Source organism: Homo sapiens, chromosome 17 (assembly GCF_000001405.40).
Source record: "Homo sapiens chromosome 17, GRCh38.p14 Primary Assembly".
In the NCBI taxonomy this organism is placed as follows: Eukaryota; Metazoa; Chordata; class Mammalia; order Primates; family Hominidae; genus Homo; species Homo sapiens.
Window position 1 is genome coordinate 10,616,793 of NC_000017.11, and position 27,246 is coordinate 10,644,038.

The 27,246-nt window shown below is 47.9% G+C and overlaps 1 protein-coding gene and 2 long non-coding RNA genes across 7 annotated transcripts in view, besides 5 other annotated features; 2 read left to right on the forward strand and 1 right to left on the reverse strand.

Moving 5' to 3' along the window:
* The window catches only part of MYHAS (myosin heavy chain gene cluster antisense RNA), a 242,409-nt gene extending 233,661 nt beyond the window's left edge, over positions 1-8,748 (forward strand). Inside the window, exon 11 of the long non-coding RNA NR_125367.1 lies at positions 5,960-8,748. This is a non-coding gene — a long non-coding RNA (myosin heavy chain gene cluster antisense RNA). The remainder of the gene's footprint in view (positions 1-5,959) is intronic.
* Positions 686-1,186: an enhancer, noted in NCBI's record as "H3K27ac hESC enhancer chr17:10520795-10521295 (GRCh37/hg19 assembly coordinates)". NCBI's record gives its function as "activates a minimal SCP1, AML or CMV promoter by ChIP-STARR-seq in naive H9 embryonic stem cells {active_cell/tissue: H9 hESC(naive)}" and the evidence as "EXISTENCE:reporter gene assay evidence [ECO:0000049][PMID:30033119]".
* Positions 1,189-1,689: an enhancer, noted in NCBI's record as "H3K4me1 hESC enhancer chr17:10521298-10521798 (GRCh37/hg19 assembly coordinates)". NCBI's record gives its function as "activates a minimal SCP1, AML or CMV promoter by ChIP-STARR-seq in naive H9 embryonic stem cells {active_cell/tissue: H9 hESC(naive)}" and the evidence as "EXISTENCE:reporter gene assay evidence [ECO:0000049][PMID:30033119]".
* Positions 1,690-2,190: an enhancer, noted in NCBI's record as "H3K4me1 hESC enhancer chr17:10521799-10522299 (GRCh37/hg19 assembly coordinates)". NCBI's record gives its function as "activates a minimal SCP1, AML or CMV promoter by ChIP-STARR-seq in naive H9 embryonic stem cells {active_cell/tissue: H9 hESC(naive)}" and the evidence as "EXISTENCE:reporter gene assay evidence [ECO:0000049][PMID:30033119]".
* The window catches only part of MYH3 (myosin heavy chain 3), a 49,886-nt gene continuing 34,379 nt past the window's right edge, over positions 11,740-27,246 (reverse strand). For all 4 annotated transcript variants that reach the window (XM_011523870.4, XM_047436127.1, NM_002470.4 and 1 more), the window contains 27 exons: positions 26,034-26,204; positions 25,625-25,931; positions 25,448-25,518; positions 24,493-24,580; positions 24,293-24,410; positions 23,771-23,894; positions 23,541-23,677; positions 23,204-23,459; positions 22,768-23,010; positions 22,506-22,682; positions 22,252-22,397; positions 22,081-22,171; positions 21,251-21,640; positions 21,017-21,143; positions 18,943-19,061; positions 18,575-18,771; positions 18,048-18,231; positions 17,225-17,390; positions 16,799-16,923; positions 15,684-15,992; positions 15,021-15,224; positions 14,819-14,944; positions 13,496-13,666; positions 13,300-13,404; positions 13,050-13,145; positions 12,805-12,942; positions 11,740-11,887 (listed from right to left, as the gene is read on the reverse strand). In XM_011523870.4, coding sequence (XP_011522172.1) covers positions 11,861-11,887; positions 12,805-12,942; positions 13,050-13,145; positions 13,300-13,404; positions 13,496-13,666; positions 14,819-14,944; positions 15,021-15,224; positions 15,684-15,992; positions 16,799-16,923; positions 17,225-17,390; positions 18,048-18,231; positions 18,575-18,771; positions 18,943-19,061; positions 21,017-21,143; positions 21,251-21,640; positions 22,081-22,171; positions 22,252-22,397; positions 22,506-22,682; positions 22,768-23,010; positions 23,204-23,459; positions 23,541-23,677; positions 23,771-23,894; positions 24,293-24,410; positions 24,493-24,580; positions 25,448-25,518; positions 25,625-25,931; positions 26,034-26,204 — 4,413 coding nt within the window. In that variant the 3' untranslated portion in view covers positions 11,740-11,860. The remainder of the gene's footprint in view (positions 11,888-12,804; positions 12,943-13,049; positions 13,146-13,299; positions 13,405-13,495; positions 13,667-14,818; positions 14,945-15,020; positions 15,225-15,683; positions 15,993-16,798; positions 16,924-17,224; positions 17,391-18,047; positions 18,232-18,574; positions 18,772-18,942; positions 19,062-21,016; positions 21,144-21,250; positions 21,641-22,080; positions 22,172-22,251; positions 22,398-22,505; positions 22,683-22,767; positions 23,011-23,203; positions 23,460-23,540; positions 23,678-23,770; positions 23,895-24,292; positions 24,411-24,492; positions 24,581-25,447; positions 25,519-25,624; positions 25,932-26,033; positions 26,205-27,246) is intronic.
* On the forward strand, positions 13,840-18,056 carry LOC124903927 (uncharacterized). 2 transcript variants are annotated; one of them, XR_007065620.1, is made up of 3 exons: positions 13,840-13,876; positions 14,789-14,972; positions 17,893-18,056. It is a non-coding gene; the product is annotated as an uncharacterized LOC124903927 (long non-coding RNA). The 2 variants fall into 2 exon arrangements; XR_007065621.1 differs by lacking the exon at positions 17,893-18,056 and adding an exon at positions 16,624-16,805.
* Positions 17,320-17,479: an enhancer, noted in NCBI's record as "active region_11731". NCBI's record gives its function as "activates an Ori minimal core promoter by ATAC-STARR-seq in GM12878 lymphoblastoid cells {active_cell/tissue: GM12878}" and the evidence as "EXISTENCE:reporter gene assay evidence [ECO:0000049][PMID:35858748]".
* Positions 19,175-19,294: an enhancer, noted in NCBI's record as "active region_11732". NCBI's record gives its function as "activates an Ori minimal core promoter by ATAC-STARR-seq in GM12878 lymphoblastoid cells {active_cell/tissue: GM12878}" and the evidence as "EXISTENCE:reporter gene assay evidence [ECO:0000049][PMID:35858748]".

Genomic DNA, 27,246 nt, shown 5'->3' on the forward strand with positions numbered 1-27,246 from the left:
GTATTGCAATCTACTGATGCCTGGGGCTGCACCTCCGGATATTCTGATTTAATTGGTCTCGGGTGGGACCTGGGAATTGGGAATTTTGAAAGCTCCTCAGGTGGCTCTAAGCCAAGGTTTGGAGTGACTGAGTGCTTAGACCCTGCCATTTCTGTGGGTTCGGTGAGCAGATTGTTTCATTTTATTTTCTTTCACTGTACTCTGCAGGGGGAGACTGGACCCATGGAGAGAAAGTAGGAGCATTAAAAGAGATGTCACCAGAAGCTACAAAACATACCAGCTCATTAAGATAGAGACAACAAAATAGGTCCCTCTAAAAATAGGAGAGAGAGAAGAAACAGGAGCTTAAACAGTGCCCATGAAGGAGTTACAGGCCTTTAACTCCCCCAGGAAGTGAATTTACTCCAGCCATGTAGAGGGCAGGGGAATGTTCCAGAAGGCAGGGTGACACGCTGGCCGGGGGCCAGAGACCTCTCTCTTTCTGGTAGCTTTAGCATGCGGCCAGGCAGTGGCAGTTCCGGAATTCAGGACTCTCTGGGGACCTGCGGGTATGGGCTGGCAGAAGGGGCTTCACAGGGAGAATAAGGGGCTTGCGGGGAGTTGGTTCCAGCCAGTGACAGTGAACTGACCCAGCCCAACACCTCTGTCCCTAGGCATGGTGGCTGCCCTCATATCTGCCCCAGCCCAGCACTGGGATCTCACAGAGAAAAAGGGCCTTCCGTAAAGGCAGAAAATAGCTATTGCCATAACTCTTCAAGATGCTGGGCCACAAACCACATTGCTGCGGCCCAAGCCCGGACTAGAGGGAGGCAAGTGAGGCACCCTCTTTGGCACAAAATCTAAGGGGACTGCAAAAAACCCTCATTAATCAAGGCCAGGTGCGGTGGCCCATGCCTGTAATCCCAGCACTTTGTGAGGCCGAGGCGGGTGGATCAGCTGAGGTCAGGAGTTCAAGACCAGCCTGGCCAACATGGTGAAACCCAGTCTCTAGTAAAAATACAAAAATTAGCTGGGCATGGTGCCGCGCACCTGTAATCCCAGCTACTAGGGAGGCTGAGGCAGGAAAATTGCTTGAACCCAGGAGGCGGAGCTTGCAGTGAGCCGAGATCGTGCCACTGCACTCCAGCCTGGGCGACAAAGTGAGACTCCAACTCAAAAAAAAAAAAAAAAAAAACCAAAAAAAAAAAAACCAGAAAAAGCTCAATAATCAAAATTAATCATATTGTATTGCAATACTTTTTAAAATCAAGGTTAGTGCAAAAAACACCCATGATTAACAAAATTTTAAATGAAGATGGGATGGGTGTTCCTGCCTTTATGAGCCTAAATGGCTTCTCTTGCCTTTACTCCTCTGTGGCACAGCACGGCTCTGGACTTCTGTAAGGGAGTCTTCTATTTTTCACCCACACCTTGCAGGAGCCACCAGTCAGCTTTGGCACCTCAAGAACTTTAGCACTCAGGGTGAGGCCAGGCTAGAGACCCTGATGCCTGGCAGAGCAGCAGTGCCACCTAGTGGCTCACGCCTATAATCCCAGCACTTTGGGAGGCTCTAGTGCCAAGGCATGAAGGGTGATGCCAGACAGAGCAACAGAGAGGGCCAGAAGCTGTCCGGAAGAGAGGGTTTTCCAGAGCACAGGAGCACGGGAGCCTCTGCATGGGCAGCTGCACGGGCGGAGCTGAGGTGGGGCAGCAGGGAGGCTGAATGAACAGATGAGGCAGGAGCAGGGAAGAGTCAGTGTTGCTGAGACTGATTTTTCCTGCAGGCAGAAAATTCCCATGCACAGTCTTAGCACCGCCACAGGCAGATGGGGTGACCTGGAAGCAGTCGCCCCTCCTTGTCCTCATCTATGAAACAGGAGGGTCAGCACAGACCGTCTGTCTCTGTGGCTTGCATATTCTTCAGAACTTGTGCCCAAGTTTCCATTTCCAGGGACGGGTGTGAGAAATCAGCTTCCGAGCGACAAAACAGTCTCCTGTTGGCAGCTCCAGGCCGCCCCCCCCCTTTGTTTTTTTTTTTTTTTTTTTGAGACGGAGTCTCGCTCTGTCGCCCAGGCTGGAGTGCAGTGGCGTGATCTCGGCTCACTGCAAGCTCCGCCTCCAGGGTTCACGCCATTCTCCTGCCTCAGCCTCCCGGTAGCTGGGACTACAGGCACGCGCCACCGCGCCCAGCTTTTTGTATTTTTAGTAGAGACGGGGTTTCACTGTGTTAGCCAGGATGGTCTCGATCTCCTGACCTCGTGATCTGCCCTCCTCGGCCTCCCAAAGTGCTGGGATTACAGGCGTGAGCCACCGCGCCCGGCCCAGGTCACTTTTTTTTTTTTTTTTTTTTTTTTTGAGGCGGAGTCTCGCTCTGTCGCCCAGGCTGGAGTGCAGTGGCGCGATCTCGGCTCACTGCAAGCTCCGCCTTCCGGGTTCACATGATTCTCCTGCCTCAGCCTCCCAAGTAGCTGGGACTATGGGCACCCGCCACCGTGCCCGGCTAATTTTTTGTATTTTTAGTAAAGGCGGGGTTTCACCATGTTAGCCAGGATGGTCTTGATCTCTTGACCTCGTGATCTGCCCGCCTCGGCCTCCCAAAGTGCTGGGATTACAGGCGTGAGCTACCGCGCCCGGCCCAGGCCACTTTTTTTGTTTTTGTTTTTGTTTTTGTTTTGTTTTGTTTTTTGGAGATGGAAAGTGGTGGGGAGATTGTTTTTGTTTTTGTTTTTGTTTTTTTTGTTTTTTTTGAGGCGGAATCTTGCTCTGTCGCCAGGCAGGAGTGCAGTGGCTCACTGCAACCTCGGCCTCCTGGGTTCAAGCGATTCTCTTGCCTCCGCCTCCTGAGTAGCTGGAACTACAGGCTCGTACCACCACACCCAGCTAATTTTTGTATTTTTAGTAGAGAGGGGGTTTCACCATGTTGGTCAAGATGGTCTCGATGTCTTGACTTCCTGATCCGCCCACCTTGGCCTCTCAAAGTGCTGGGATTACAGGCATGAGCCACCGACCCCTGCCAAGATTGGGTTTTAAAGTCTTAAAGCTATGGCAGGGTGCTGTGGCTCACCTTCCTTCTTTCATTGTCTCTCTCTCTCCTTACTTCCCTCCCTCCCTCCCTTCTTTTCTTTCTTCTTTCTTTCCTTTCTCAGACAGAGTCTTACTCTGCCACCCAGGCTGGAGTGCAATGGCATGATCTTGGCTCATTACAACTTCCTCCTCCCGGGTTCAAGTGACTCTCCCGCCTCAGCCTCCCAAGTAGCTGGGATTACAGGCGTCCACCACCATGCCCAGCTAATTATTGTATTTTTAGTAGAGATGGGGTTTCACCATGTTGGCCAGGCTGGTCTCGAGCTCCTGATCTCAGGTGAGCCACCCACCTCGGCCTCCCAAAGTGCTGGGATTACAGGCGTGAGCCGCTGCGCCTGGCCTCCAGGCCACTTTTGACATGACAGTCCCAGGAGCAGCATCACCGACCACCACATATCCAATCCGAGGGAGAGGAAGGAGGAAAGGACTTCTCCATGGGGATGTCCTCACCCAGCCTCGAGATTGTGACTTTCTGGAAACTTTAGTAACAAATGCTGCCTGTGCCAACAGCTTAGCACTTGGTTATACTGTTAATTAATTCCCAGAATCTTAGACACTAGGGTGGCAAATAGGATTTTATGAGTGCCTGAGTGCCAGAGAAGATTAGCAAGAGAAAAAAAAAAAAACAAACAAAAAAAAAACAGAATGGAGAGGTTTCACTCTTGGACATGGAGTTTTGAGAAATCCTCCAGGGCCTGGTTCTCAGAGGGTGGTCCCTGGACCACCAGCATCAGTATCATCAGGGAACTTGCTAGAACCGTAAAACCTTGAGCCCCATTCCAGACCTGAGAATCAGAACCTGGAAGGTGGGGTCTGGTGAGGTGGGTTTCAGCCAACAAGCCCTGCAGAGCATTCCGAGGCATGTTCAAGTTTGAGAATCACTGATTTAGAGCCATGCTTCTCAAACCCCGCTGTGCCTGCCAGTCACCCAGGGATCTCATTAGAAAGCAGATTCTGATCCAGTCGCCTAGGGAGGGTTCTAAGACTTTGCAGTTCTGACAAGCTCCCAGGTGACACAATACTGCTGGTCTTTGGAAAACTTTGTGTAGCAGAGATCTAGGCCTGCATTTCCCAGACAAGCTTTATGATGAAAGTCACCTGGGTGCTTATTAACTATACAAGTTACCAGGTCTCTCCCCTGGAAATTCCCGTTTTGTGGATCTGGCTTTGGGCCCAGGAATCCGCTTTTTAAAACAACTGCTCTAAGAGTTTACCTTTAGGCAGATGATTAGAATCACCAGGGAACGTTTCAATGCAGATTCCCCAGCTCCAACCCAACCTACTGACTCAGAATCTCTGACGGTGCAGCCCTAAATTCTGAATTTTTTTTTAAAGAAAGTAAACCAGGCAGCCAGGCATGGTGGCTCACGTCTATAATCCTAGCACTTTGGGAGGCCTAAGCGAGTGGATAACAAGGTCAGGAGTTTGAGACCAGTCTGGCCAATATGGTGAAACCCTGTCTCTGCTAAAAATACAAAACTTAGCTGGGTATGGTGGTGGGTGCCTGTAGTCCCAGCTACTTAGGAGGCTGAGGCAGGAGAATCGCTTGAATCCGGGAGGCGGAGGTTGCAGTGAGCCAAGATTACGCCACTGCACTCCAGCCTGGGTGACAGGGTGAGACTCTATCTCAAAAAAAAAAAAAAAAAGTAAACCAGGCAATGCTGATGCCCAGCTAGGTTTAGAAACCCTTGGAATAGTTCAGACCTCTCGTTTTTCAAGTAAGGAACCGGAAACCTGGAGAGTGAGATGCCAAAGATTATGAAAGAAACTGGAAGGAAAGTGAAGACTGGAACAGAGATTTTCTCATTCCTGCTTGAGTGTTCTTCCAATGACTGTGTGTGTGTAGCTTTGAAAATACAAAGTATTGGGAATAGGAACTGTGATACAAACAAAGGTAAGTAGGACAGTGTAAGTCATGACTGCTACTCAGGGAGAGTAGAGGGAGTATTTAAAAATGCCCCTAAAAAGGTGCACAAAGGATAGGGGCGTAGCCACTGGTGGGTGGGGAGGACCAAGACAGCCTGAGGTGTGTTAAGATTTCAAGGGGAGATGGCTGGGCGGGAGTAGTGAAGGGGAGCCACATCTGCGGGCACACGTGGAAGGACAGGTTGAGTATCCATCTGAGGCGGCCTGGCGTGGTGGCTCACACCTGTAATCCCAGCACTTTGGGAGGCTGAGGCGGGTGGATCACAAGGTCAGGAGTTCGAGACCAGCCTGGCCAATATGGTGAAACTCCGTCTCTACCAAAATTACAAAAATTAGCTGGGTGTGGTGGTGGGCACCTATAGTCCCGGCTACTAGGGAGGCTGAGGCAGGAGAATTGCTTGAACCTGGGAGGTGGAGGTTACACTGAGCGGAGATAGCACCACTGCACTCCAGCCTGGGTGACAAAGCAAGACTCTATCACAAAAATAATAATAATAATAATAAGTATCCATCTGAGGCAAGTGTACTAAACTGATGGGCCGGGAGGGGGCATTCACAGTTGCTGGGCAGAGCAGTGACAGGTCAGAGTTGTGTTTCAAATAGGCCTAAGTAGGACTAAGTTGTATTAACTAACTTGAATGGACTCAGCTGTAACATTGTCTGTCTTGAACACTACACACTTTGGGGCCAAATGGTTGGTGAACCATGTGTACCCCAGATCACCAGCTCTTCATATCACCATGCAAGCCAAAAATTCGTTTCAATTGAGCCATGACATGCAGGAAGAGACTGCCCAAAATTGCTTCTTCCTTTTTCTGTAACACTTAATATTCAAACTGTCTTTTTAACTCAGCAACACAGGATGATTTAAACTATAGACCTAGTATTAATATTTCCTTACAGAGGTGGCAACAGCCACCAAAACAAACAAACAAAAAAGCTCATGTTCATCTCCACCCCCATATTTCAGACAGTGACATGAAGGCAATGGATTCTCAGCATTACAAGGCAAGACAGAACTTGAAGGAAGAAGGCTGGGAGGAAACCAATGTTGAATGAACACTGACTCTGTGCTCAGCCCTGAGCAAGCAGTGGAATGCCCCTGGGCTGTGAGCCACGAATTCAAATCCCAGCTTGTAGAGCTGTTCTGGGGGTTAGAAGTTTGGGGTCCCTCGTTGCTGCACTCGTTCCAGGTTTGGGGCTGGCGCTGCCCTTCTGACCCCTCCCTAAAGTGGACACAGGAGAAGGAGCGGGGAGAAGAGACAGGCGGCCAGGAGACACCCTGTTGAGGGCTCCCTCTGCTTGCAACAGGACCTGCTGAGGTTGCAGCTGAAGTGCTGGTCTTCCCAGAGAAAACAACCCCTCATTCTCAAAGGATGAGAGTGAGCCCTGCGGGGCTGCATGCTCTTGGCCATGGGAGATCAACTGTGGTCACATAGAGTGTAATCAGTGTGTATTTATGGATCACTCACTACATGCAAGACCGGGACACAGCCGGGATTTACTGTGGGGCTGAAAGCAAGTCACTTAAAAAGGTAAAAATTCATGTCCTTTTAATCTACTTTTCAGCAAGGAACATCACGTCTGAATGCTCGCGGCCTCTGCCTGCCCCGTGGGATGGTGCTGGAAATTATACTCATATTTAGATAGCATTCTCTGCAAGTGGCTGCTGTTGTCCTTCCATCGTCAGCACAGGCAGATGCTGGGAGTACCCACCTTGGGGTGAGGTGGCAAGAGAGGGCCAGCTTGTATCCGCCTCGTTGTCGTCCTTCCTTCCTGACTTGACTCTCTCCTCTGTGGCCTTCTCAGGAGTGGGATGTGGTTGTGAGGAGAATGTGCACTTTACCCCTCACCAGTCCAGAGAGGGGCACATAGCCCAAACCTCTCCCCTTCCCAGAAACCTGCAAGTCCCCCTGGGTGCGCCTGTGTGATGAGGCAGGCTCCGAGAGCCACAGGCTGGTGGGCCACTAGGAAGCAGTAAAGGAAGACATTTTATGATTGTAGCTGGAGATAATGAATTGAAAAGCTGGTCTCTGTTTCTGGAAATGATGCCAGGAGGCCCTCAAAATAAACGCCCACCTGTCCTTCAGGTCTCAACACCTGTTGCTCTTGGGACAGAGATCCCAGGCCCAAAATAGGCACAGCTGCTATGGATGCTCGTCTTGCCCTCCTGGAGCTGAGACTGGGCCATGTTTGGAAATATGTCTCCCTCCATCCCCTCCTCCCATCCTCATTTGGAGCCTTAGGGCTTTAAGACGTGAGCTCTTTCCTCGCTCCCTCTCCCCAGTCTTTCTTGGGTATCTCTGCTCCTCCCATCACCTGTTCCTGGGCATGGCATAGGCAGTTGGTAAATGACAGATGAATGAATACATGTACAAGGAAACACAGATCTGAAATTTCTAGCAGCAAAGTTTGGAGCAGGAAGCTCTGGCTGGCCCTGGGCTTTTTGCTAAGGGTGTTCTGGCTTCGCGTGGCAGCACCCCTCCCCACCGGGCCTTTGCCAGGACGCTCGATCCTCTCTTCGGGCTTCTGAGCAGTGTGAATTGCAAACAGCCATGCCCACTCCCCAGGCCAAGAAAACCAAGTTCATGGCCAGGATTGCTCACAAAAAAAAAAAAAAAAAAAGAACCACTTCTGCCTTATCATTCTCTCTTTATTACCGAAATGCGGAGACAGAAAGTCAACAGAGAAAGAATTGTTTTCCCCAAGGCCACACAGATTGCTCCAACACTTGACTTTTCCTGCTAGGAACTCAATCCAAGAGATGGGCTTTCTTTTGTTCTCTGACTATAAAAGGGTGTCACCTTGTCACCATCTTCTATCACACAGGACCCCTATGGGCTTGGTTTGGTTTTGTTCTTTCATCATTATTATTTGGAAAGTTATATTTCCTTTACTGTCCTTGAGGTGTGAGGCTTCACCTCATCTTGTCTCCATATCCCTGAGTCACTAAGGAGTCCTATGTCAATGACACCTCTCCATATGCTTTACCTAAGCTGCCCCTTCTCTCAGCAAGTTCGCGCCAGGCTTCCCCATGAAGGCCACCTAAGGGTGTCTATCGTCCCCCTCCTAAATCTCCCCAGGACTTTTGAACAAGGGCCATGTCCAGTTTAATGTCACACAAAGAAGACTCATCAAAGCCCAGGAGTTGGGAGTTCTTGCTCCTCACTGCCATGGAAAGCATGAAACATCTGAGATAAAAATAATCTGTGCCATCCCCTGGCTCCGGATGGACAGCAGTTGGGGCATGAGCGCCTCCAGAATGTCTCAGCATTGCTGAGGGTAACCGGATCGCCGCTCAGATCCAGCAGGCAGCCTCAGAACCTCCCAGCTGCTGTTGTTTTTAGCACCGGGATTATTGGTAGGGGTGTAAATAGACATCTGTGTTCTGGGTGGCTCGCTCACCCCACATTCCTAGGCACACTTGTTTTATTAAAGCTCTCAGCTGTCGGGTGATCCAGGCGTGGAGAAATGAAAGGCCGCCCTCACCAGCTGGTGGTGGACTGCAAACTGCAACCAGTTTTCCCCCATAAGGACATGTTACTCCTATTAGAAACTGTGTCCCTCACATGTCCTTAAGAAGCGGGCCATCTGCCAATCATAAATCGAGATCTCAGCCGTTCCAAATAAAGAAAGAGTCTACCCTCCTTGCTGGCAGTCCTTTTATAGTTGACAGATTTTTTTTTTTAATCTTGTGCTTGGCCATGTATTTCTTGTGTAATTAAAAAATTATAAAAGGTAATAAAAAATACAAATCCACTGCTAAGAGATTTAAGACTCAATAAAAATTTCAGAAAGCCAGAGGTTTCTGGATAGTATGAGGATTACAAGGAGAAGGTTAATAAATTCCATGTCCCAACACCAGAAAAAAAGAATAAAAGAGAAAAAACAAGGCTATTTATGAAAAGGAAAAGTAATTAGAAATGGCCCTTAATGGCTGAGTGTGGTGGCTCATACCTGTAATCCCAGCACCTTGGGAGGCCGAGGCGGGTGGATCACCTAAGGTCAGAAGTTCGAGATCATTCTGGCCAACATGGTAAAACCCCGTCTCTACTAAAAATACAAAAAAATTAGCCAGGCATGGTGGCGTGTGCCTGTAGTCCCAGCTACCTGGGAGGCTGAGGCATGAGAATTGCTTGAAACCGGGTGGCAAAAGTTGCACTGAGCCAAGATCGCACCACTGCGCTCCAGCCTGGGTGACAGAGTGAGACTCCTTCTCAATAAAAATAAAAAATATAATAAGAAATGGTCCTTAATTTGGAGAGGCTCACCCAAAAAAGTGAGCCTGAAGAGAAGGCGCCCTTCATTCTTTTGCCACCCTGTTCTGGAGCCCATGTACGAAAGAGCCAGTGGATATTGCAAATGAGCTAAAGTCACCCAAGTTCCTACTGAATGGTCAAAGGTCCTATCTTAAGAGAGGCTCTCTGAGGATGGGGTGGGCTGAGGTGGTGGACAAGAGGAGGGTTATAGAGAAACACCTGGAGGACGCTAACAGAAACAGTCGATCATCAAAAAGAAAACACGAAGCACGCTTTGGGTTCTATCAGCCCAGTTTCAACACAGCTTTACCCTGTGCGCCAGCTCTTTTGAGGGATTTCGCCTGTCTATGTGGCCGGCTGCCCCGGTAGAAGGTTAGTACTTTGTAGGGTAAAGGAGTCTTAGGATCTAGAGAGAATCCAGCTCTGCCATTTTGACCTTGAACAAATCACTGAGTTTCGTCTTTTCATCTGTAAAGTGGGTGATAAGGTCCATCTCCTCATCGCCAAGTCTGTATGCTGAGGGCACGAGAGAGTGCATGCCAAGTGCACATGGGTGGAGTTCAGTAAATAGTGGCTGATCTCATCCTCCTCCTCTCCATGGTCGGAGGAGACCCCCTCTCTGGCTCGTGTGGCACGGCAGCTCCTGATTTGGAATGGAATTGGTGCTTTCATTTTTTGCTTCTTAATAACACAGCTTACATTTTCTATAGTCGTGGGCATCCTTTTTTTATGGAATAAATGAACATGGGTGACTTTGGTCATAATATTCACTCTTAGAAAATGAATCTTTTCATTTATATCCTTCACAAAATCAGAGCCTAATAGAAATAGTCACAGGTCACTTCCAGCACCAAACTCCGCACCTTCTCCTTTGTGGGAAATGTCACACTTTGCCAATAAGTGGACACAGGGGGTTCCACGGCCCCAGGTATTTTCAAGTGCAGAGGCACTCCAGTTCTGCATAAAATGCATCAGGGGCCTCTTTTATTAATTCTTTAAGTCATAAGTTCTGTAAAATAAGTTTACTTCAACGATCTCTCGCTTACTCTTCCTTTCTGGTATGTACATATTTTACCACCTTTTTTTTTTCTTTTTGAGACAGAGTCTTGCTCTGTCTCCAGGCCGGAGTGCAGTGGTGTGATCTTGGCTCACTGCAACCTCCGCCTCCTGGGTTCAAGCGATTCTCCTGCCTCAGCCTCCCGAGTAGCTGGAACTACAGGAGGGCACCACCACACCCAGCTAATTTTTGTATTTTTAGTAGAGACGGGGTTTCACCATGTTGGCCAGGATGGTCTTGATCTCTTGACCTCGTGATCTGCCCGCCTCGGCCTCCCAAAGTGCCGGGATTACAGGCGTGAGTCACTGCGTCCAGCCTTTACCATGTATTTTTAAAAGATAAGGACTATCTTAGAAAGCATAATCACAAAATCACATTATACCGTGAAATGAACAATAATCTCATGTCACCATCAATATCCAGTCAATAGTCAAATTTACCAATTGGACCGTGTGTGTGTGTGTGTGTGTGTGTGTGTGTGTCTATTTTTTAACAGCGTGTTTGTACAAAGCAGTATCCTAACAAGGTCCACACAGTGCAATTGGCGGATAGGTCCACTAAGTATCTTTTAATCTACAGGTCTCCCTTGTATTTGTTTTATATTTTTTCTTTGCAATTTATTTATTGAAAAAGCTAAATGATTTGTTGAGTTCCCCCACATCTGGAGAGAACACCCCTTGGCCTTTCATTCTCACCTGAGTCAAACTAGGTCCCCTAATCTTCTGGAATCAGACAAAGAAGGGAACTTGGCAGCTATTGCTAATAAATTTACTGATGACAATAAACAAAGGATCCCAGGCTAGAAGATGCTCTTTCTAGTAGCAAGTCAACCAGATAGTTATTTGACTTCCTGCCTTCCTTCCCTCTTAAGGTAAAGACAAGGTTATCTTGGGTCAGGGGTGGGATTTTCTGTTGTGCAGCTTTGAAATAGTGCACACTGATCTAAGATAACAGTAGTAGATTTAGACTGAGCGCTTGAAGGGGCCAGCCTCTTTTTTATTCATTTATGTATTTTTGATAGCACAGTGCTTACATGAACAGCTGCCCAACAAATATTTACTAGATTTCAGATGTATTTCCCCACTAGAATGTAAAGAAGGAGAATGTGGGCCTTTGCTTTATAACCTTATTCAACTCAAGACAAGGGCTTTTCATGAGCCTACCTTTGTGTTTCCTTCATGTCATATTAAGAGATGACTCTTTTGAAAAGCTCTCCCTCCCATTCCCCACCAAAGCAAAGGTTAACCCGGAAGTTTTTTTTTTTCCTTTTTGATTTAAGCCAAAAGCCATCTCTCCCTCCGCACATGCACACACCAATTGAATTTACCGAGCCATCTGCTTACAAAGCTTTCACCTCCGAGCATACAAACCATCAAACTAGGAACCATTTCTGCATGGGGAAGAGGAAAACAAATACAGCAAAGCGGCCCCAGATTGAAACAAAGCAAAGTTTATTGCATGTGAAAAAGAGTCACATGGACATTAAGTATCAATGGTCAGGAATCAAGAAAATATACATTTTGCATATCTTCTGTCCTGCTCCAGAAGGGCTGGCTCACTCTTCACTCTCGTGGACCACCATCTAGGAAGAAAGTAGGCACCTGGAGTCAAGTCGGGTGGCAGAGACACATTCCCACCCACCACTTCTGCCGGCTGGCATCAGAGTTGCTTGCCTACTTCAGTGGGACACAGGATATTTTTTGGACCTTGGGAAAACGCACGATTGCACACATGAAGTCACCCCATAGCCTGAGAAACTGGCCCTCCGAAAGAGCAAGCCCCAAACGCTGGAGACCCAGCGACCTACTGTCGGATGCTGTGTGTTCAGCGGGCTCTGGAGGGGGCTCCTGCAGCAGCCTTTTGTTACCAGCAGGGGGCGCATGAAAGAGCTCAGTGGGACCCGCTCGCTCCTTTTCAGGATGGCGGTTTGTTTTGTTTTGTTGGGATACATGTGCAGAACGTGCAGGTTTGTTACATAGGTATACATGTGCCATGGTGGTTTGCTGCACCTATCAACCTGTCATCTAGGTTTTAGGCCCCACGTGCATTAGCTGTTTGTCCTAATGCTCTCCCTCCCCTTGCCGCCCCCACCCCCGGAAAGGCCCCGGTGTGTGATGTTCCCCTCCCTGTGTCCACGTGTTCTCACTGTTCAACTCCCACTAATGAGTGAGAACATGTGGTGTTTGGTTTTCTGTTTCTGTGTTAGTTTGCTGAGAATGATGGCTTCCAGCTTCATCCATGTCCCTGCAAAGGACATGATATCATTCTTTTTTATGGCTGCATAGTATTCCATGGTGTACATGTGCAGGATGGCGGTTTTTATTGTGACTCACAGACCAGGATTCTAGCGAGGGTCCAGTCAGCTAAGTGACTTTAAGCACTTTCTCTTCCTGAGCCTGAGACTCCCCAGCTCTAAAGTAAAGGGTTCTCTGAGGTTCCTTCCAGCTAAGAAGTTTCTACAGTCCCTGGGGGGGGGCTCCTCCCAGCTCAGCGACTCACCCTGCTGGAGGTGAAGTCTCGAGTCTTAGCGCGGAGCTTGTTGACTTGAGATTCTGCGATATCCGCACGTTCCTCGGCCTCCTCCAGCTCATGCTGAGCCTTTCGGAATTTGGTGAGATGAGCATTGGCTTGTTCATCCTAAAACCAAAGAGCCCAGGCAGGTTATATCAGCACGCGCCTCTCTCAGAACTCACCACGGGAAACAGCACGGTCTGCCTGCCGCAGTCAGCACCTATCTCACTTACAGCCTCCTCCGCCTGCCTCTTGTAGGACTTGACTTTCACTTGCAGTTTATCCACCAGATCCTGCAATCTCAGCACATTCTTCCTGTCCTCTTCACTCTAAGAATGAGAAAGTGGGAATGTCACTGGAGAGGAGGGGGCAGATTTGCACACGGCATGGGCAGCTTTCTGGGCCAAAGTGTTTCTTCCTGTGGTTTGATGGAGAATCTGCACGTCACAGAGGACACGATCATGGCGTTTGCGTTCCACTTACCTGGTACGTCAGCTCCTTGACCCTCCGCTCATACTTCCTCAGGCCCTTAACAGACTCTGTGTTCTTCTTCTGCTCTCCCTCAAGTTCAAACTCCAGCTCTCGGATCTGGGGGAGAGGGTGGGGAAATTAGTCTGGGGCTGCAGCGTGATTGGGAGGCTGGAAAGCTCAGCGCAGGCGGGGTTCCTCCTGCACACACCCTGGTCTCCAGTTTCTGGATCTGCTTCTTCCCGCCCTTCAGCGCCAGCTGCTCGGCCTCATCTAGACGATGCTGCAGGTCCTTCACCGTCTGTTCCAGGTTCTTCTTCATCCGCTCAAGGTGGGCGCTGGTGTCCTGCTCCTTCTTCAGCTCCTCCGCCATCATGGCAGCCTGAAAAGCACATGGGACTTGCTAGGATGCAGAGGAAGCTCCAGTGCCTTGGAACTGTCAAAACCTGGGGACCTCGGAGGACCAGAGACCATGCTAAAGAAAAAGGACAGGCCAGGCGCGGTGGCTCACGTCTGTAATCCCAGCACTTTGGGAGGCCAAGGCGGGTGGATCACCTGAGGTCAGGAGTTCAAGACCAGCCTGCTCAACATGGTGAAAGCCCATCTCTACTAAAAATACAAAAAATTAGCTGGGCGTGGTGGCAGATGCCCGTATTCCCAGCTACTCCGGAGGCTGAGGCAGGAGAGTTGCTTGAACCCAGGAGGAGGAGGTTGCAGTGAGCCGAGATCTCGCCATTGCACTCCAGCCTGGTCAATAAGAGTGAAACTCCATCTCGGGGGTGGGGGAAGAAAGAAAGAAAGAAAAAGGACAACGGGTGAGACTGTGATGAAGCACACTCTGCCACCCTGGAAGAGGGCCAGAGCTACACCCAGTAGATAAAATAACCTAATCAATGAGGCAATGAGAACTTTAGCGACAGGCTGGGAAACAGTTTCTTCCCTTTCTTAAGCTGGCCTCCTTTGAAACTCTCCCCTGCCCCAGGGAAATTCTTTTTTCATTACCACCAATATATATTTTCAAAGGAGCTTGAGACTTAGAGTAGTCTGACTTGATACTCAGCCTCATAGATTTGGGGATAGTGAGATTAAGGGAAGGCCTCTGGAGAATTAAGGCTGTACAGGAACAACAAAATCGCTTCGAGGTAAAGTTCTCCCGCCAGGCAGCAGGTGGCGCCATTAGCGCGGTGGGCCGCCGGGAGAAAGCCTCGGAGACCCAGGAAGGGAAAAATGTGTGGGATATTAACACCTCAGGTTCTTGTTTTCATATTTGGAATAAGTCAGATGTTGAAGGAAAGACATGCACACCTCTCCACAGGCAGAACTACTAGGATATAATCCCTTCCTGCCTTTTTTTCTTATGCCCTTCTTCTAAAGTGCAGGAGGGAACAGGGGAGTTTGAGCGGAGATGGGAGCCCTCGGGGAGCAGAATGTGCACCAGGTGTGGCTGGGGGAGACCGCACCTGTCTAACTATGTGAGGGCTTTAATGCAATGCAATCCCGGCAGCCCGAGGGCAGCAGGAAGGAGACGCCTTACGTCCGTGATGGCCTTCTTGGCCTTCTCCTCAGCGTTCCTTGCATCCCTGCTGGCATCTTCTACCTCACTCTGGAGCTGCATGAGGTCTGTCTCCAGCTTCTTCTTGGTGTGGATGAGGCTGGTGTTCTAGGGCAAGAGGAGGGCTGTTAACCAGGTGCGTATGAGGCTGGAACCTCGCCTCTCTTCCTCTCCCTCCCCTCACCTGGGTATGCAGCAGCTGCACCCTCTCGTTGGAGTCCAGGAGCTCCTGTTCCGCCAGTTTCCGGGCCCTCTCCGTCTGCTCCAGAGTAGCCCGCAGCTCCTCCACCTCGGCCTGCAGCAGGTTGGCTCTGCGCTCCACAATCGCCAGCTGCTCCTTCAGGTCCTCCTGGCCCCGGAGGGCATCATCCAGGTGGAGCTGCGTATCCTAGCCAGAGAAAAACGAACATTCTATTTGAAGTTGAGGCGTTAGGACCACGAGCCTCATCTGCATCTCTGAGTTTTGTTTGTTTGTTTGTTTGTTTTTGTTTTGTTTTGTTTTGTTTGTTTTGAGACAGGGTCTTGTTCTGTCACCCAAGCTGGTGTGCAGTTGCGTGATCTCAGCTCACTGTAACCTCTGCCTCCTGGAAAGCAATCCTCCCATCTCAGCCTCCCAAGTAGCTGAGACCACAGGCTTGTGCCACCATGCCTAGCTAATTTTTATTTTTTTTGTAGAGATAAGGTTTTGCTATATTGCCCAGGCTGGTATCAAACTCCTGGGCTCAAGTGAGCCTCTTGCCTCAGTCTCCCAGAGCGCTGGGACTACAGGCGTGCACCACTGTGCCCAGCCTACATTTCTGAGTATGTGAGGAGGAGAGAGGTTTTTCCCCGATGGGTTCTCTCAAACCTTCAGCTGTCCCTGGACACTCCTGAGGTGTTTGAGGGTCTCCGCCGCCTGGCGGTTGGCGTGGCTCAGCTGGATCTCGATTTCATTCAGGTCCCCCTCCATCTTCTTCTTGAGCCGGATGGCTTCATTCCTGCTCCGCACCTCGGCGTCCAGGGCGCTCTGCATGGTTTCCACTGTTCTCTGGTAGTTCCTCTTCAGCTGCTCGATCTCTTCATCCTTCTCGGCGATCTTTCTATCAATTTCTGATTTCACTTGTGTCAATTCAAGCTGGATTCGGAGGATCTTGGCTTCTTCATGCTCAAGAGCAGCCTTTAAGAAACAAAAGCAAATCAAATAGTGTCTGTGATGGTATGGAGCCAGCTCCACTACCCTGCAGGATAACAAAACTTCAATGGAATAGTCCTAAATCTAATCCTACAATAGTCACAATTCACTTTTTAAATGTCCCCAAATTGGCCGGGTGCAGTGGTTCACACCTGTAATCCCAGCACTTTGGGAGGCCGAGGGGGGCAGATCACCTGAGGTCACGAGTTTGAGACCAGCCTGACCAATGTAGTGAAACCCTGTCTCTACTAAAAATACAAAAATTAGCCAGGCATGGTGGTGCCCGCCTGTAATCCCAGCTACTCGGGAGGCTGAGGCAGGAGAATCATTTGAACCCAGGAGACAGAGGTTGCAGTGGGCCTAGATTGCCAGCATGGGCAACAAGAGCAAAACTCTGTCTCAAGAAAAAAAAAGTCCCAAATTTATCTTCAGTGCAGAAATAAAAGCACGTTTCATTGCTTTTTGGTTTTGATTATACTATCAACCAATAATAATGTTTAAATCATATTTCTTAGGAGCATAAAGCACTTTCTAGATATTTTTAATTCATGTAATATTTTGTAAAATCTCATCTTTAGGCCTATTTAATATGACAGTCTTCTCCAATAAATTTAAGATAATTCACAGGTATTATTCAGCCTCACAGTTTTGCTGTGTGACGGGAAAGCAGCAGGCATTAGGACTGTGATTTGACAAAGGCAAAAATGGAGACACAGCATGGAGCAGCCAGCCTCCCTGGCCGTGGCTCACCATGGCTGCATCTGCGCCTGAGCCTGCCTCCCAGCACTCACCTCTGCTTCCTCGAGAGCCAGCTGGATATCAGCCTTTTCCAGCTCAATCTGCTTTCTTGATTTCTCCAGTTCATGGATGGTTTTGCCATTTTCAGCAATTTGTTCTGTGAGATCTGCTATCTCCTCTGTAAAGAAGTAAGTTTCAGTTGCATATGAGCGCCTCTGCGTGGGTTTCCAGACATGCAAAGCATTGACTCAATGCTTTTTACCTGGTTTATTATAATCCTAAGGTTTCCTGCTTCCTAGAGATAAGATATTGTACAGAGAGAGGCTAAAACGTAACCCGTCAGATGGTGAACACTTTCTGCATGTGCATTAACACACATGTGTGCAGGAAACTGAGTGATGAAGCCACACCCACGCCAGCATGCTCTCGAGCAATAGAGCATGAAAGGAGGAGGTTTCAGAGGGTTTCGAATAGCTTACGCTCTAAGTTCTTATTTTCCCGTTTCACAGTTTCAAGTTGATCTAAGGCTTCCTCGTAGGCATTTTTCAGTTTGAAGAGCTCAGTGCTCAAGGAGCGGGACTCCTTCAGGGATGCCTCCAGCTCTGCTTGGCTCTCCTCACACTTTGTCTTCCACTCTGCCAACACCTGAAACACCGGACGGAAGTTCTCTCCGTTTCTGAGCTCTCCTCTAGGTTTCTAACAAAATACTAAATAACTAAATTAAATGCAGAGTTAGGGCTACACTTGGCATCACTTGCCTGGCTCCTTGTTGTCGATTATTGGGCTAATCAAGATTCTGTTCCATAAATGTACTCAAGGTAATGAGTCAGGAACAATTGCCATCTTGAAAAAGCAAATAGATCCTTTGAGAAGGAATTAGCTGGGCATAATTGTCCTTTTCCTAATATAAAAAGGGCCCTGTACTTCTAAATATTTCATTAAAGCATTGGTTCCAATCAACTTTATCTGCCATCTTGAAAGAAGGGCTTCCAGAAAGCCTCCCAATAGGATCTCAGCTTAGACAGACCAGTAGTACGGAAAGGAAAAATGCTTAGGACTGCACGGACATTGTAGAAATTGGTTTGTTTCCACGGACAACATTTGAAAGGGACCTCTACCCCCAGCCCATTCCCATTCTGTTTTGCAGATGAGGAAACTACAGCCCGGTGAAGTTCAGGGACTTGCCCAAGGCCACACTGCTGGTGAGGGCAGAGTCAGGTCCGGGATGCATTCTCCTCCTTCCACGGCTGCTAGGAATCCCTTACATCATGGCATTCACCCAGCACACAGCGGACCCCACACCTTGTCAAAGTTCCTCTGCTTCTTGTCCAGAGCGGCGGCCAAGGAATTGGCTCTTTCAACATCAACCATCAGATCCTCCACCTCTCCTTGCAGCCTCTGCTTGGTCTTCTCCAGTGAAGCACATTTAGCATTCACTGCCTCAACCTGTTCCTCGGAATCTTGAAGGCGCTGAGCAAGTTTTTTCCTTAAAGAATATGAAAGAGAAGCAGCTGTTATTTCAGTTTCCATCCACTTGAACATCACTATTCATCAAGTTGGAATCACTAATCTATGTGATTCAGACACCCATGTGTTTTTATACGCCCAGGAGAATTTCCTGTCTACTCAAAATCTGGGATCAATAACTTGCCTTGTGTCTGACCAAGATCAAAGCTGTTTGTTTTAATAAAATGTGCTAACGCCAGGTCCCTCTAATGGCCCAGCACCGCATTTAAAGACACATGAGATGGGGAAACGCCTAGTAATAAAAATAAATTCATCGAATTCATTCCTAAGTAGTTCTTCTAAAAGCAAACAGAGCTGCGCACTTGGCCTCCTCCAGCTCTTCTGTGCGCTGGATGGCGTCCGTCTCGTATTTGGTTCTCCACTGGGCAACCTCACTATTGGCCTTGGACAGCGCCCTCTGCAGCTCAGCTTTGCCTTCCTGCTCCTCCTCATACTGTTCCCGCAGCAGGTCACAGTCGTGGCGGGAGGACTGCAGGGCGTGCGCCAGGGCGTTCTTGGCCTGCAGAAGTTAAAAAGAGAAGAGCACCTGATATATTTAGTGCCAGGTGCATGATACAATCCAAGTGTGTCCCTTCTATCACCACCTTCTGAATGAAGTTGCCTTTTATTTTTTCCTCCTACAGGTGATATTTAAAAATAAGGGCAAAGAAGTCTTCCTTCAATGGTGTACCTTGTTCTCTTCCTCCAGCTGCCTCTTGAGCTCTTCTGTTTGCTGGGTAAAGGCTTGCTTGCTCCTGGAAAGTTGGGATACTATGCTTTCTTTTTCTTCCAGCTGACGACTCAGCTCACCTGTGTCCAGAAGGAAATAGTTTCATTTCATTTATTCACTCATTCACTCACCAACTTTCTATTATGTGTAGGGCACTGTGCTAAGATCTGGGGAGACAGAAAATGATAAGATATGGTTTCTTCTTCAGGGAGAAGGTATATGGTTCATGAAAAGGAAACTGAAAGCAGAACTGATAAGGTATTGTTGTAGGCCAGGTGCAGTGGCTCACGCCTGTAATCCCAGCACTTTGGGAGGCTGAGGCAGGCAGATCACAAGGTCAGGAGTTTGAGACCAGCCTGGCCAATATGGTGAAACCCCATCTCTACTAAAAACAAAAATTAGCCGGGCGTGGTCATGGGCACCTGTAGTCCCAGCTACTTGGGAGGCTGAGGCAGGAGAATCACTGGAACCCAGGAGGTGGAGGTTGCAGTGAGCCAAGATCATGCCTCAATCTCAAAAAAAAAAAAAAAAAAAAAGATATTGTTGTAAACTACTGGAAGGTGGGACTGATGTCTGTCAAAAAAAAAATCCATTGAGAAGAACTGTAAATGTAAACGTTACCAGGAGCACCTAATAACTCCCATCAGACCTCCCCAGTGGCAGGTGTTTCCAGCTGTTTATTGATTTGTTATCGACAAATACATAGGGAAATACTTAGAGCTTTATATCTCTAGTTAGACTCTTGGGGGAATAGGGTAAGTTCAAGTTTATATGCTTACATAGAGGTAAGAGAAAAACATAGAATGGGGCTTTATGGCTCCAGACGTGAATCCCCCAACATGGTAAAAGTGGCCACCATAGGCCGGGTGCGGTGGCTCACGCCTGTAATCCCAGCACTTTGGGAGGCCGACGCAGGCGGATCACGAGGTCAGGAGTTCAAGACCAGCCTGGCCAACACAGTGAAACCCTGTCTCTACTAAAAATACAAAAATTAGCCGTGTGTGTTGGCATGCGTCTGTAGTCCCAGCTACTCAGGAGGCTGAGGCAAGAGAATCGCTTGAACCCGGGAGGCGGAGTTTGCAGTGAGCCGAGATCACACAATTGCACTCCAGCCTGGGTGACAGAGAGTGAGACTCTGTCTAAAAAAAAAAAAATGTGGCTACCAAACTTCTTTTCTTCATTGTCTTGGCTGTGACTGCCAGCCGAGGATGGATTCACCTGTGAGGATGCACCAGGGCTGGGTGAAGCCACATTTTCTAGGCGAAAACTCCAAATAACATTCCCTTAAACTTTTTTTTTTTTTGAGACAGAGTTTCATTCTTGTTGCCCAGGCTGGAGTGCAATGGCATAATCTCGGCTCACTGCAACCTCCGCCTCCTGGGTTCAAGCGATTCTCCTGCCTCAGCCTCCCAAGTAGCTGGGATTACAGGCACCCACCACCATGCCTCGCTAATTTTTGTATTTTTAATAGAGACGGGGTTTCACCATGTCGGCCAGGCTGGTCTTGAACTCCTGACCTCAGGTGATCCGCCCGCCTCGGCCTCCCAAAGTGCTGGGTTGACAGGCATGAGCTACCACACCCGGCCTCCCTTATGTTTTTATTATACACCAGGACCTTTAAACACTGGCCATGTTTCTCTCTTTAGTCTCAAAAACTTGGACGCAGACAATGAATATCTGAGTTAAGAAGTATCAAGGCCCTGGCTCTTAGTTTCTAGTCTCATTTCTGCCCATCAGAGTCTGTCTGATGCAAGTTTATATTAATTTTGAAAGAGTTTGAATGAGATGATATTTTGAGCCCCTTCTCATTCTGGTCTACTCCTCTTTCTCTCTTATTCTTACTGAACTCTCAATGTTCTCTCCCTTCAGGCTATTTCAAATGGCTCTTTCTATGAGTTATTTCAATTTCTTCTCTCCTGAAAAGATGCTTCCCTAGAGATTCTCCCTCAAACACACCCTGCCCTTGGTTTTGGCCAGCTACGCCCATTGGGTGCCAGGAGGTTTTGGCCCCACGGGTTTTCTGCACGTGGCTTACCAGCCTCGGTCTGCAAACGAGACTTCTGTGTGGTCAGCTCGCTCAGGCTCCTCTGAATTTCCTCATTCTTGCCCCTGGCCTCACTTAACTGATCCTCCAGGGTTCGGCAGATTTTTTCCAGATTTGCCTGAAGGATTCAGAAAGGGGAGCAAAGTCAGTCAGCAAAGTCAGGTTTCAATGACCACGGAGTGTGTCTGATGGAAAGCCTTGAGCCACCCCCACCCCGCGCAGCACCTTAGATTTCGACACACTCTCCATGCTGCTGGAGAGGTCATCGATCTCCAGCTTGAACTCGCTCTTCTCCTTCTCCAGCTTCTGCTTGACCCGCTGCAGGTTGTCAATCTGCTCCCCAAGCTCGGCCACACTATCCGCATGCTTCTTCCTCAGCGCGGCCACCATGGCTTCGTGCTGCAGTGTGGCCTCCTCCAGGTCCCTGCGCAGCTTCAGGAACTCCGCCTCCCGCTTCTTGTTGAGCTCTATCTGCGTGGAGGTGACGCCTCCCGCCTCCTCCAGCCGCTCGCTCAGCTCCTCCAGCTCCCGGGCATAGTCGCTGCGCTGTTTCTCTGTCTTCGCGCGGGTGGCCCTCTCCGCCTCTATCTCCTCTTCCAGCTCCTCAATTCGAGCCTGTGGAGGGCAGCCGTTCACCCCGTGGGCAGTGGGTTCACCGCGGGGACTCTGATTGCCAAGAACAGGCTGGTTTCCCTTCCCATTAGACAAACTGAGTCTTAGACTCCCCTCCAATGAATACTGCAAATTTCCTTTCACAGGAATTTTTTCTGCCCCAACATGGTAATTACTCCTGCAGTGACCAAACCTGAACATTTTCCACCAACTAAATGTTAACTTTTAGTTGTTAACTTAAATACTTTAATTATGGATTAAAGTATTTAATCAGATGTTTTGGGGAAATGGTTCATCATGGCCAGGCCAGCCTAGCAGAAAGGGAACCATGAGGCAGGTGGCCCCACAGTCTTGCCCACTTTCTCTAAATGGCTTATAGCAGACAGCACCCAGCTCACTGTAAGTGGCCTCACATGGAAGAGAGAAATGCAGAGGGCTCCTACCTGCAACTCTTTGATTTTCTTCTGAAACTGGAGGCCCAGTGTCTGCTCATCTTCCACTTTGCTTTGAAGTTGACAATATTCAAAATCTTTCCTGTGAAGAGAAATGTAGAATGCATGAAGACAAAATACACAGTAACTTGCAAAATGGAAGCCAGTGGTTGAAGGGCATACTTCTTGAGCCTTTCGTCCAGCTGTTGCTTGTCATTCTCCAGATCTAATATGGACTCTTGAGCAAGCTTCAAGTCTCCTTCCAATTTCCTTTTGTTCCTTTCCAGGTCTACTCGGAGCTTCTTTTCTTGTTCTAGGGAGCTTTCCAGCTGAAAAAGGCACCATTTCCTTTTGGGAACAAATGCTTTGCAAGAGGACCCTTGAGGGCTCTTCCAACCCTGGAGTTCTGGGACTCCCGATGAGCATTATTTACTTACGTCTTCCACTTGCTGTTCCAGTTTGCTCTTGGTTTTGTTCAAAGAATTGACTTTGTCTTCTTCAGCTTGGAGGTCATCCAAGGCCTGCTGGTGCGCCTCTTGGAGGGCCTTCTTCTCTCTGGTTAACTTTGCAATTGTTTCATCTAACCCAGAGAGTTCCTCAGTAAGGTTTTTAACCTAAGAAGAATTCGCAAGCAATTATAAGCTTAAAGTTTAGTTTGCAATGACTATATCAAGCTAGACACACCTACAATAAGAATACCTTGTTCTCTGTGGCATGCTTCTCCTTCTCAACCTTGGCCAGGGTCAACTCAAGGTCATCAATGTCTTTCTTGAGCTCTGAGCATTCATCCTCCAGTTTCCTCTTCTTGGCCGTCAGCTCAGCATTGATCTCCTCCTCATCTTCAGCTCTCTCTGTCACCTCCTTGATCTTGGCCTCGAGCTGGAATTTGGCTTTGATCAGCTGATCGCATCTTTCCTCAGCATCCAACAAATTTTCGCTTTCCTTAAAAAAAAAAGAATAATAACTTCGTTGAATGATATAAGGTTTGCGACATTCCAGTATTTCACTATATATGAAGTTCTTTATGAAGCATTTCAACTAAAAAGCAAAAATCCCCACCAATAACTCAATTTTTCTAAATAAATAATCAAATCTAGAAGAGTTAAAAAAAAAAAAAAGATTGCTAAACACGTACAGCTTGTACTTGGAGCTGCAGGTCATTCTTCTCTTGGACCAGAGTCACCAGTTTTTCCTCTAGCTCCTTCCTTTTTGCCTCCGACTTGGCGAGTTCATCTTTGGTTTTCTGGAATTCTTCCTTCATGGTGGCCATCTCTTTCTCAGTCTCTGCACTCTTGAGGAGGGGCTTGATCTTGAAGAAGAGTTTCATCCAGGGCCAGTGCTTGACGTTCATGAATGAGCGAATGTTGTACTGGATGCAGAAGATGGACTCCCTAAAAACAAGACATTGCTTATTTCTGAGAGAGACTCCCCTTCCCCAAAGAGCTCATGTCTGAACAAAGACCCTGCTGGACCTCCTCTGCACCATCTTCTGGAATTCCACACGCATGAGGAACCCTCTGCACACAGCTTGTGTCCGGGTGATTAGTTTGGCCAGGCGGTCATCCCGCATCTCTTCCAGGGTTCCCAGCAAGCCAGCCTTGAAGAACACCTTATGGGGCAGAAGGGTGACATGAGTCAGTTTCCTAGAGAAGCTGTGTCAAGAGGACGAAAAGGCCAGCATCTGTCAGAACTGATGCATTACCTTGGTATGTCCAAATTTGTACTGAGTGTGGTCAATATCAATGGATGCCAGAAGCTTTTCACAGGCTTTCTTGCTGTCAATGAATTGTCCCTCAGGGATTGCACTGGCATTCAGCACTCGGTATCTGCATTGTAGACATGGAAATCATCACAGACTGTTGGCAAAGACACAAACCTTGGAGAACATGTAGTTCAGGCCTCTCTTCCTATAGGCAGAAGGCCAAGGTCCCAGGAGATGAGGGAACTAGCTCGGAGTCACATTGCTAGAGAGCAGTCTAGAATCTAGATCTCTTGACTCTTCAGTCAGAGCTTTTCCTGCCATTTTGTATATCAGATAAATTCCAGAGAAAAACATGGAAGAAACAAATATATATAACTTGGCCAAATGGTAGATTGTTCAGTTTACATGGAGGTCCATATCTGTTCTTTCGAAATAGGTCTTTTCATACGAATCTTTCTCCCTCTCAAATTCCAGTGTTCGTACATCTCATCCCCAAGCATATAGAACATGTTTATTACACACCTTTGTTTAAAATCGCCATAGAGAATCCTGTTTGGGAACCCTTTCCTGCAGATGCGGATGCCCTCCAGGACACCGTTACACCGCAGCTGGTGCAGAACAAGGCTGTGTTCCATAGCCCCTGGGAACAGAAGCGAGATATCAGCCTTACACAGAATTTCTTAAAAACTGAGCACCACCTAGCGAGCCAGCAGGTGTCTCACCTGGAGTTTTGGTTTCATTGGGAATTATACAACGCACAAAATGAGGGTGAGTAGTTCTTAAATTTGACATCAGCTTGTTCAGGTTTTCCTAAGAGAAAAAAAAAATGACATTTGCCATCCTACTGTAGGTTTTTATGAAGACAGAGATCCATTGTAATGAAATAAGATCTATGTTTAAAATTTATCATAAGTTCTAAAGTATAGTGAAATGATTTAACTCTGTCTTTTTTTTTTTTTTTTTTTTTTTTGAGACGGAGTCTCGCTCTGTCACCCATGCTGGAATGCAGTGGCTCAATCTTGGCTCACTGCAACCTCCTCCTCCTAGGTTCAAGCAATTCTCCTGCCTCAGCCTCCTGAGTAGCTGGGACTACAGGCATATGCCACCACACCTGGCTAATTTTTCATATGTTTAATGGAGACGGGGTTTTACTGTGTTAGCCAGGATGGTCTCGATCTTCTGACCTTGTGATCTGCCCACCTCGGCCTCCCAAAGTGCTGGGATTACAGGAGTGAGCCACTGTGCCCGGCCTAACTCAGGCTTTCAATGGTCCTATGGCTGGAGGTGTAGGCTAGTAACTGATACAATTGTCTTTTGTCTCCCAGTGAGCCAGAGGCTCGCCAAGTACAAAATGCTTTCTAAAATCAACTCAGGTGATGGATCCACTGGGAGCGTGAGGTCTATTGCTGGTGTCCTTTAGGAAAATTGGAGAGTTTATGCTGGAAACTCGGACAAGCCAACTCAGCTATCTTTGGTATAAGATAATAGTGATACTCTCATCGCACATTGGTTAGACCGTATTTATTATATTTTATCATCTGTCACTTCACCTCAGTGACAGTAATCAGATTAAGACAACACTACTACTCTCAAATAAATCAAGCTTAGAATCTCAGCATTGCTCATTTAGATGTCACTTAAATCAATTATAAGCAAATAAACTTGTATTTTTCTTACCCTGAAAAGGGCAGAGACAGTTTGGAAGGAAGAACCCTTCTTCTTGGCAACTTTCTTCTTTCCACTGTCAGCTGAAAGCAATAAGGGAGGGCACGTGCTGTAGGTGAATCTAAAAGGTTTTTTGTTACTGTGGAACAAATGGAGGGAAATCACATGGACACAAAGCACTCCTCTTACCATCCGCCGTGGCAAACGTGGCATAGAGGTGTGCCAGGAGCCTGTTGGAAGACTTCTGGTACAGCCCAACCACAGTCTCGTTCAGAGGGTCCTTGTTCTTCTCCAGCCAACCTGAGACACTGTAGTCCACGGTGCCCGCATAGTGGATCAGTGAGAAGTGAGCCTCGGCCCTGCCTTTGACCACCTTGGGCTTCTGGAAGTTGTTGGACTTTCCAAGATGCTGGTCATACAGCTTGTTCTTGAAGGAGGTGTCTGTTGCCTTGGGGAACATGCACTCCTCTTCCAGGATGGAGAAGATGCCCATAGGCTGGATTGAAGGCAAGGCAAAGTGCAGAGAGGTAAATATGAGCTGCAGTAATGAGCAGAAGAGTCTATGAGAAGAGCTTACGGTGGGGATGGAACTGGATACCTTCTCGATGAGCTCGATGCAGGCAGCCAGGTCCATCCCGAAGTCAATGAACGTCCACTCGATGCCTTCCTTCTTGTACTCCTCCTGCTCCAGCACGAACATGTGGTGGTTGAAAAACTGTTGCAGTTTCTCATTGGTGAAGTTGATGCACAGCTGCTCCAGGCTGTTATACTAATAAAAAAATACAACATTCATGTGAAAAGTTAGACTTCTTTCAGAATCAAAGACTGTCAACATTCCTCCTCATTGCCCCAGGTTCCTGTCAAACACATTAATGCTTTCAAATACAATCACAATCTTCAAGGCCTGCCTCAGACCGCATCTCCTCCTTGGCGTCTTCTGTAAACTTCCAATTAGAAGGTGTTTCTCCCTTTCCTGAGTTCCCAAGGTCTGGGCATCTCTTGTGTACTTTATTTTGTAGTTACTCTTCAATGTGCCATATAGACTTCTATTTCTTCTCTACTAGACTACAAGCTCATCTGTTTTTTTCACCTGTATGTCTTGTACCTGGGAAACCTAAATATACACTTTGATGAGTGGCTATGCACTTTTTTTTTTCTTTTTTTTTTGAGACGGAGTCTTGCTCTGTCACCAGGCTGGAGTGCAATGGCACCATCTCGGCTCACTGCAACCTCCGCCTCCCAGGTTCAAATGATTCTCCTGCCTCAGCCTCCAGAGTGGCTGGAACTACAGGCGCACGCCACCACACCCATCTAATTTTTGTATTTTTAGTAGAGACGGGGTTTCACCATGTTGGCCAGGATGGTCTTGATCTCTTGACCTTGCGATCTGCCTGCCTCAGCCTCCCAAAGTGCTGGGATTACAGGCATGAGGCACCATGCCCAGCCGCGGCTATGCACGGTCTAACACAGAACCAGTGGGATATTTATAGAAAATAGTGCGTGATTAACTTATCAAATTCTCTGTATCTATTTGATGGCAGTCCCTAAATCAGTGATTGCATTTAATTTTTTTTCTTTTATCCATTTGAAAATGTCCTTTAAAATTCCACTTGATAGACATCTTCTCCTCTTTTAAAATAATACAAACCCAGCCAGGTGCGGTGGCTCATGCCTGTAATCCCAACACTTTCGGAGGCCGAGGCGGATGGATCACTTGAGGTCAGGAGTTCGAGACCAGCCTAGCCAACATGGTGAAACCCCATCTCTACTAAAAATACAAAAATTAGCCAGGCATGGTGGCACACGCCTGT